General features: G+C 43.9%; 1 long non-coding RNA gene across 1 annotated transcript; it reads left to right on the top strand.

The window, feature by feature from the left end:
- The first annotated feature begins 372 nt into the window (after window positions 1–372).
- Window positions 373–1,863, top strand: FAM88E (family with sequence similarity 88 member E). Its single transcript, NR_126050.1, has 2 exons — window positions 373–693; window positions 1,663–1,863. It is a non-coding gene; the product is annotated as a family with sequence similarity 88 member E (long non-coding RNA).
- Window positions 1,864–9,171: the final 7,308 nt, after the last annotated feature.

Genomic DNA, 9,171 nt, shown 5'->3' with positions numbered 1-9,171 from the left:
GGGTCACAGGCCTTAATGTTATTACACGCTAGTCTGATGCTCATGGCCAGGACATTTTGTTTTCCTGTTGGACATAAACAATCTCACAGAATATCAACTTCAGAAGGTTAATCTGAGACCGTGATAAGTGCAAACAAAAACAAGGGCACTTTATAATGTTGTCTAAGTGCAGATAAAAAACAAGGTCTTGATGCCACCCAGAAAATACTTAATAATCATATTGCTCCTGCTTTCTGACAGCATCCAATCTAAAGTCTTCACTTTCTGAGATCCTGTCCGAAATCAACCAATTAAAGCCCAAATCGTATAACAGTTTCTCTCTAACTCCTCCCACTGAGATGACCCATAGTACCCCATTCCTTGCTGCAATGTAATTACAAGTGTGCTCCTGGTGGTCTTTAACTGAAGGGCACTGACTGGGTACTGGTGAAGTTCCCCGCAGGAACTGAGTCAGACCCCATCTCAGGGCCCTGCAGAAGATAGGTGCCTGCTCTAAGGCGTGGACCCTCGCGACAGCCCTGGCCCGTCTTGACGGGCGAGGGTTACTGTACTTGTCCCAACCGTACAGATGAGAAAGCTCAGACTCAGGGCCAGCAACCCCGGTCCCAGCGGAGCGCCCGGCACGCGCCGACACTTCAGCACCAGTCGCGGTGGCCACCACTGTGCGCGGAGATGGCTGCGACGCGTGCGCAGGTAAAGTCCATCCGTGCCTTGCCTCCCACCGGCGCCTTCCACCGCCTCTGGTTTTGTCCCCGCCAGCGGCTCCGACTCCATCGCGTCCTCTTCCAGTCTAGTGCTTTTTTCCAGATCTCGATCCCAAACTCCCTCCTGCCAGAATCTGGACCCGAATCCACCCATTGCCCATTTTCCGCTGCCGCTGGAGAGAATCTCTGAGGTCCCCAGGACAGCCTGCCTGCACGGAAGAGATGCCTCCTCAGTATGGCCGCCCCCGGAGAGGAGCGATTAAGTGCAGACCTCCATGTTGCTCTTGAGCCTGAGTGGCTTCAGGGAGCCATGTTTGTTACTGGCGGGCGCCGGCCTCACTGAGCATGTGCAGCCCTGGCCGGGCGGCCTCAAAGTTCTGACATCACAGGGCGGTTCCTGAAGTGGACGTAGTTGTAAGAGCTAGTTATTTTAGACAATGCCTCTGGGATCAGGGACTCTAATCTGGAAATAGGTAGTGGGAGAGGTCGGTGATGCTGTCTCGGGGTCAGAGACCTGAGCTATATGGGGTTAGAGAGGGGCCCTGGGCAGGCGAGTCTCTGGGGAGTGTGGTGAGAATCCTTGTGTAAGATGCTGGGAGGAGGTGGGGTCAGGGCTGGGGTCCGTGGGCCGATGGGTTGGGGGATGGCCAGCGTCAGGGATCAGTAGTAGAGATTCTATGTGCCCTGATCGCCAGTAGAGGTTTTAAATACAGAGTATTCATGAGTTTAGCAATGTTATTCGCCTCTCATAATTTAAATAATTTGAAGTTTTCCCCCAGTAACTAGTGTCTTAGAAGTCATGAAAATTTCAGAAAATGACAGGTCTTCTGAGTTCGTGATGGGAGTTGGGCAGCAGTCGCATACGAGCACCTGGAGAGTCCTTGCCAGTTCTTTGGGGATGGGGAGCTCTTAAGACTGCCCTGAGACCGCCCTTTGACCTCATTGTGGTCCTTTCTAGATTAAATGCTGTTTTCCATGACCGTCTCTGTTCTTCCCATACGCGAATGGCAGGCATCCAGATCTCCAAGAATAGAGGATTAGGAGAGACTCCACCACCTATGTCCTCACAGTTAATTATCGATTTGTGTCACTTGCCCATTTTCTCACTTCCTGTTTGTGTGTCAAGGAGTATTAATAAATCTTTGCCTATTTAAAGATACTAGCCTTGGATTTTCAAATATTGCATATTTTGACATGTAAAAATGTGTTAGTTTTATTTTTTCAACCGATCTGACCTGTATAGTTGGGCTTGAGGAAGCTTCCTCATTGTACATGTTACTATGGATTTTTTAATATTAACACAGAGTTGTATTTTTTCCATATAAATTTCTATTGAATTTCTTTTTCCATATGATAGGTGGTGAAGGTTTAGCCCAGTAAAGCAGAGAGGTTAAGAGGTTAGACTGGGGGCTCTGGAGCCAGACCTATGTAGATCTGAGTCCTGGCTCTGGCACTTGAAAGCCGTGTGACCTTGGTTAAGATACTTAGCCCCTCTCTGCCAAATGGAGAAATAAGGGCACCTACCCCGTAGGGTAGTTGTGTGAGTACACAAGTTAATACACTTCAATCACTAGCAAGAAAGTGAATGTCAAGCTGTATTTGTTCAGGCAGCCATATGGTAGCCCCACCTCATTAGTAAACTGAGGTATTGAAGTATCTTCTTTTTCTTTCAGAAAATATTTGTCAAGCACCTTCTGTGTTCTAAGAACTGTTCTAGAGCTTTGCATGCTATGGAGGTCTAGAAATTCACATTATGGTGGCAGGTGACAGACAATACAAAGAGATAAAGCAATTTCATATAGTGATAACCTAGGGAGGCGTGCTAAAAGGAGCCAAGGTGTAGTGGTGACTGGAAGGTGACCAGGGAAACCACTGTAGGGTTTCTAACTGATGAGATCTGTGACAAATCCCTGTGGTCAGCAGCAGGCATTGGATATGTAACTTTATTCTGTCCCATTGATCTTGTAGTCAACCCTGGTCTGTTCTGTATTGTTTTAATTACATAATCTTTGTAATAATCTTTAATACCTGGTGGAGTGCTCTGTTTACTTATTTCTGCATAATTAACCACCCCTAAGCTTAACTTACTCATGGTTCTGCAGGATGACTGCTCTCCATGGTTATAGGGGTTTCTGCATGGGGCCTCTCACATGTGCTACAGTCAAACATTAGCCGGGGCCACAGTCATCTGAAACTCACTTACACGGCTGACAATTGATGTTGGCTGTTGCCTGGAGAAGACATATGTGGCCTGGTGGAATGGAATGGTGACTAGATTCAAGAAAGAGCTTCCCAGGAGCAAGGCTACCAAGAGACCGAAGTAGAGGCTTCAGTTTCTTTAAAAAAAAAAAAAAAAAAATCGGGCCAGGTGCGATGGCTCACGCATGTAATCCCAGCACTTTGGGAGGCCAAGGCAGGCAGATCACAAGGTCATGAGATCGAGACCATCCTGGCCAACATAGTGAAACCCGTCTCCAATAAAAAAAAAAAATACAAAAATTAGCTGGGCATGGTGGTGTGTGACGGTAGTCCCAACTACTTGGGAGGCTGAGACAGGAGAATCTCTAGAACCTGGGAGGCGGGGGTTGCAGTGAGCTGAGATTGCACCACTGCACTCAAGACTGGCAATAGAGGGAGACTCCATCTCAAAAAAAAAAAAAATCCAATAGTAGAATTCCCAGAATGGAATTTATGTCATATTCTATGGATTGAGCAAGTTGCAAGGCAGCCAGATTCTAGGGGAAGGGAGCTATTCCTCACCTCTTGAGAAGCAATGTGTGTTGAGGAAGGGAAAGAATTGACGGTAGCTGTCTTTGACTTCTACCATACAGAGCAAGGTCTCCACACTCCTTTCTCCTGTAATAATTTTCCATTTGAAAATTTTCCTTGCAGTTCTCACACCTTTATTATTTCATATAAATTTTACAATCAATTTTTTTCTTGTCTAGATAACCATGCCATTTGGATTAAAATTGCATTACATTGCAACTTTTGAGAAACTATGGGAGGAGAATTGGCAACCTTATAATATTGAATTTGCTCATTAAGGAACATAGTTTCTCTGTTTATTTAGGTGTTATATTTTTCATAATATACATGTTGGTATTTCTACCCAGGCTTTTCTCTTTGTTTTGTCATGTAATGCATGAATGAGACTGCACTGTCTGTGTGATTGGGCAGTTGCCCAAAGTTTAAGGTGTTAACATGCATTAATTCACTTAATCACTTCTCATTTCCTCCTTCCCTCAACCCCTGACAACCATGAATCTGCTTTCTGTCTCTAGATTTGCCTATTCTGGACATTTTATATAAATGTGTCATCCAATATCTGGTCTTTTCTGACTGGCTTCTTTCACTTAGCAGGATTCTACGGTTTATTGAGGTTCATTCATTGTGTAGGCTGTATCAGTACTTCATTCCTGTTTACGGCTGACTAATGTTCCACTGTATGTACATATGTATGTATACCACACTTTGTATATCCATTTATTTACTGGAGGATATCTGGGTTATTTACAGTATATTTCAGGAGTCCCCAAGATCATCCTCCCCCTTGGTATACTGCTCTTTGTATCTTATATGACCTGTGCAGAACTATTTATCTGGAAATTAGGTGATGGTTAACTAAATATAGTTCTTCTAAAGATTCATTTTCCGTTGGTATTACATCCTGAGGAGACCTTAACTCAATCTCCCAATACATTTGATCATCAATATCACTATTACCACATGACTTATTTACATGAGGTACTCAAATCTAACCAGCCATGCCAGTGTTACCCATATTGCATGTTGTGGTAGTAGATGCAGCCCCCTGAAATAAAAGTCAAAAGATGCTGGCACATTCCTGAGGTTCTTCTCAGCCACTAACAATTGGTGTAGTTCATCATCACCTGGAATGACCAAAATGTCTCCCATGGAAATGCAGCTCAGCTCTGTAGGCTTCCATTTAACTTTGTCAGGTTCCGAGGCAGGGCTGGCTTGAGTGGTCTTGTTTCCACTTTGGCTTTGATGAATAATGCTGCTGTGAACATTCAGGTATACGTTTTTGTGTGGTTTCATTTCTTTTAAGTATATATCTTGGAGTGTAATTACTGGATCATATGATAACTCTGTTTTAATTTTTGAGAAACTACCAAAATGTTTTCCACAACAGACAAGATTTTACATTCCCTCAGCATTGAATGAAGGTTCTTATCCAGTTTCCTGTTTTTGCTGAGACTTCTTATTGTTTGTCTTTTGAATTTAGTTATCTCGTTGGGGTGAAGTGGTGTATCATTGTGTTTTGATTTGCATTTCCCTAATAATGAATGTTATTGAGCACCTTCTCACATGCTTATTGGCCATTTTTCATCTTTTTGAAGAAATGTCTATTCATCTTTTGCCCATTTTTAAATTGAGTTTTCTTTTTATTGAGTTGTAAGAGTGGTTATATCATCTGGAACATGTGTTCCTTATCAGATATAGGACTTATAAGTTTTTGTCCCATTCTGTGGTTGTCCTTATTTTCTTATGTAACCATTGTATTAGTCTGTTTTCATGCTGCTGATAAACACATACCTGAGACTGGACAATTTACAAAAGAAGGAGTTTTATTGGACTCACAGTTCCATGTGGCTGGGGAGACCACACAATCATGGTGAAAGATGAAAGGCAAGGAGGAGCAAGTCACGTCTTACATGGATGGCAGCAGGCAAAGAGAGAGCTTGTGCAGGGAAACTCTCATTTTTAAAACCATCAGATCTCCTGAGACTCATTCACTATCATGAGAATAGCACAAGAAAGGCCTGCCCCCATTATTCAGTCACCTTCCACTGGGTTTCTCCGACAACACATGAGAATTCTGGGAGTTACAACTCAAGATGAGATTTAGGTGGGGACACAGCCAAACCATGTCGACTTTGAAACAGAGAACTTTTTAATGAAATTGAACTGATCTATTTTTTGTTTTGTTGCTTGAGCTTTTGGTGACTGCTATGGTTTGAAATATGTTCCCACAAAATTCATGTTTGGAATGCTTATATTCCTGTTGGTGGGAATATAAAACCATACATCTGGTATGGAAAACAGTATGGTGATTCCTCAAGAAATTAGAAACAGAATTACCCTATGATCCAGCATTTCCACTTCTGGGTGGAATACCAAAATAATTGAAAGCAGGGTCTCAAAGAAATATCTGTACACCCGTGTTCATAGCAGCATTAGACACAATAGCCAAAAGTGGAAATAATCTAAGCATTCATTGAGGGATGAATGGAAAAACAAAATCTGACATATACATACATACAGTGGAATATTATTCAGCTTCCAAAAGGAAGAAAATTCTGACATATGCTATAACATGGATGCACCTTGAGTACATTATGCTAGGTGAAATAAGCCAGTCACAAAAACAAATACTGCATGATTCCATTTAAATGAGGGGCCTAGAATATCAACTTCATAGACAGAAGTTAGAATGGTGGTTGCCAGGGGCTGGGAGGAGGGGGTAGGGGTTAGGTTTTAATAAATATCATTTCAGTTTTACAAGATGAAGAGAGTTTTGCAGATGGGTTGTGGGCATAATTGTACAACATTATCAATGTATTTAATACCACTGAATTGTACACTTAAAATGGTTAAGATGGTAAATTTTATGTGTGTTTTAACACAATAAAAACTGAAAAAAGGGATATATGTTACCCTAAATAAAAAATTCGTATGCTGAACTCAGAACCCCCAGTACCTAAGAACATGACCTTATTTGGAAATGAGATTGTTGTTAATGTAATTAGTTAAGATGAGGTCATGCTGTAATAGGGTGGGCCCCCTAATCCAGTATGATTTGTGTCTTTATAAAAAAGGGAAATTTGTGCACAGAGATAACACAGGGGATATGCCATATGAAGATGAAGGCAGAATTCTACAAGCCCAGGAATGCCAAAGATTGCCAGCAAACCACCAGAAGCTAGGAGAGAAGTGTGGATTAGATTCTTTCTCACAGCCCTCAGAAGGAACCAGCCCTGCCAAGAACTTGATCTCAGACTTCTAGTCTCCAGAACTGTGAGACAGTGCATTTTGTTCTGTAAGTCAGCCACATGGTTTGTGGCACTTTGTTATGGCAGCCCTAGGAGATGAAGACAATATGCAACATGGTATGTCCATTATAGGACACTGTGGGCTATAAATGTGTTCTTTGGCCTGAAGAAATAAAACTTGGTGGTCCAAGTTGATGTCTTATCATCTGTTCCAGTTCTTTTATGGTATTTTTGGCATTTGAATCTAATGACTATGCAAAGCCCAGTCCAGAGAATGTGTCAGGACCCATTATAGCCTCCCAGGGATACTGGCTTCAGTCTGGTATAATCTACTTGTTAGCTATGAGTGGTGCCTTCCCACTGGGAACCTGCCCCATAGCCACCTGCGGTCTCTGTCTTCCTGCTGTCAGATAGGACAGTTCTTGTTGGCATTTGGTGCCTCTGAGGGTGGAGGAGGGACTTGTTGCTGAGCAGCCCATCCCTGCACGGCTGCAGCTCCCCTGTGTCCACTCCTTCATTAAGCCCAGGTGGCCACCTCAAGGTCACCAGGATATCCACCTACCAGATCTGATCACTGATCCTGGGAGGGGTTCTTCAGGTGGGCATTGACATGACCTACTTTAATGTGCCCTTTAAATTCCTGCAGTGCTGTGCTCCATGTGGGGATCCTTTCACAGCCCAGTTTGCCATTGCCCCTCTTCCTGGTTACATGGCCAGGCCATTGGCCACTGCCCATGAGTCAGTAAAGTAAAAACCGAAATGTAGAAGATCCTATCATTGTTCAATTCTTCCATCCCAGGAAGGAGTGCAACATGTAATTCATCTCACTGGGCTGATTTGTTCTTGCCTTTTTCAATAAGAATTTTCCCATTACTGCTCATGGTGTGCATCCAGGCCACACTGATGCAAGGGGTGGGGTCCCAAGGCCTTGGGCAGCTCTGCCCCATGGCTCTGCAGGGTACTGCCCCAGTGACTGCTTCCATGGGCTGGCATTGAGTGCCTGTGGCTTTTCCAGGCACACAGTGAAAGCTTTCAGTGGATCTACCATTCTCTGGCCTGCAGGACAGTGGCCCTCTTCTCACAGCTCCACTAGGCAGTGCCCCAGTGGGGACATTGAGTGGGGCCTCCAAACCCACATTTCACCTCCAGACTGCTTTAGTAAAGGCTCTCCATGAGGGCTCTGACCCTATAGCAGACTTCCTCCTGGACATCCAGGCATTATCATACAACCTTTACAATCTAGGTGGAAACTCCCAAGCCTCAACTCTTGCCTTCCTTGCACCTGTAAGCTTAAAACCACATGGAAGCCACAAAGGCTTCTTATGGCTGCACCCTCTGATGCAGTGGCCTGAGATGTATCTGGGGCCCTTTTAGCCACAGCTGGAGCTGGAGCAGCTGGGATTCCGGGTGACATGTCCCGAGGCTGTACACAACAGTGGGGTCCTGGGCCTAGGCCACAAAACCATTTTTCCCTCCTAATCTTTCAGGCCTGTGATGGGAAGGGCTACTGTGAAGATCTCTGAAATGTCCTGGAGGCATTTTCCCCATTGTCTTGGCTATTCACATTCTGCTCCTCTTTACTTATGCAAATTCCTGCAGCTGAGTTGAATGTCTTACCAGAAATTTGGTTTTTCTTTTCTACCACATGGTCAGGCTGCAAATTTTCCAATCTTTTATGCTCTGCTTCCCTTTTAAATATAAGTTCCAATTTCAGATCATCTCTTTGTGAATGCATATGAGCATATGCTGTTAGAAGCAGCCAAGTTACATCTTGAATGCTTTGCTGTTTAGAAATTTAGAAATTTCTTCTGCCAGATGCCCTAAATCATCTCAAGTTCGAAGTTCCACAGATCCCTAGAGTAGGAGCACAATGCCACCAATCTCCTTGCTAAAACATAGCAAGAGTGACTGCAAACTCCAGTTCCCAATAAGTTCCTCACCTCCATCTGGGACCACCTCAGCCTGGATTTCACTGTCCATATCACTATATGAGCATTTCGGTCACAACCATTCAGCAAGTCTCTAGGAAGTTCCAAACTTTTCTTCCTGTCTTCTGTTTTTTTGTTTTGTTTTCATTTTTGTTTTTTTCAGATGAAGTCTCACTCTGTTATCCAGGCTGGAATGCAGTGGCACAATCTTGGCTCACTGCAACCTCTGCCTCCTGGGTTCAAATGATCCTCCTACCTCAGCTTCCTGAGTAGCTGGGATTACAGGCATGTGCCATGATGCCCGCCTAACTTTTTTTTGTATTTTTAGTAGAGACAGAGTTTCACCATGTTGGCCTGGCTGGCTTTGAACTCCTGACCTCAAATGATCCACCTGCTTCACCCTTCCAAAGTGCTGGGATTGCAGGCATGAGCTACCATGCCCAGCCATCATCTTCGTGTATTCTTATAAGCCTTCCAAACTGTTCCAACCTCTGCCTATTACCTAAGTCCAAACTCGCTTCC

This window comes from Homo sapiens, chromosome 9 (genome assembly GCF_000001405.40).
Source record: "Homo sapiens chromosome 9, GRCh38.p14 Primary Assembly".
In the NCBI taxonomy this organism is placed as follows: Eukaryota; Metazoa; Chordata; class Mammalia; order Primates; family Hominidae; genus Homo; species Homo sapiens.
This window is presented reverse-complemented; position numbering and strand designations above follow the sequence as displayed.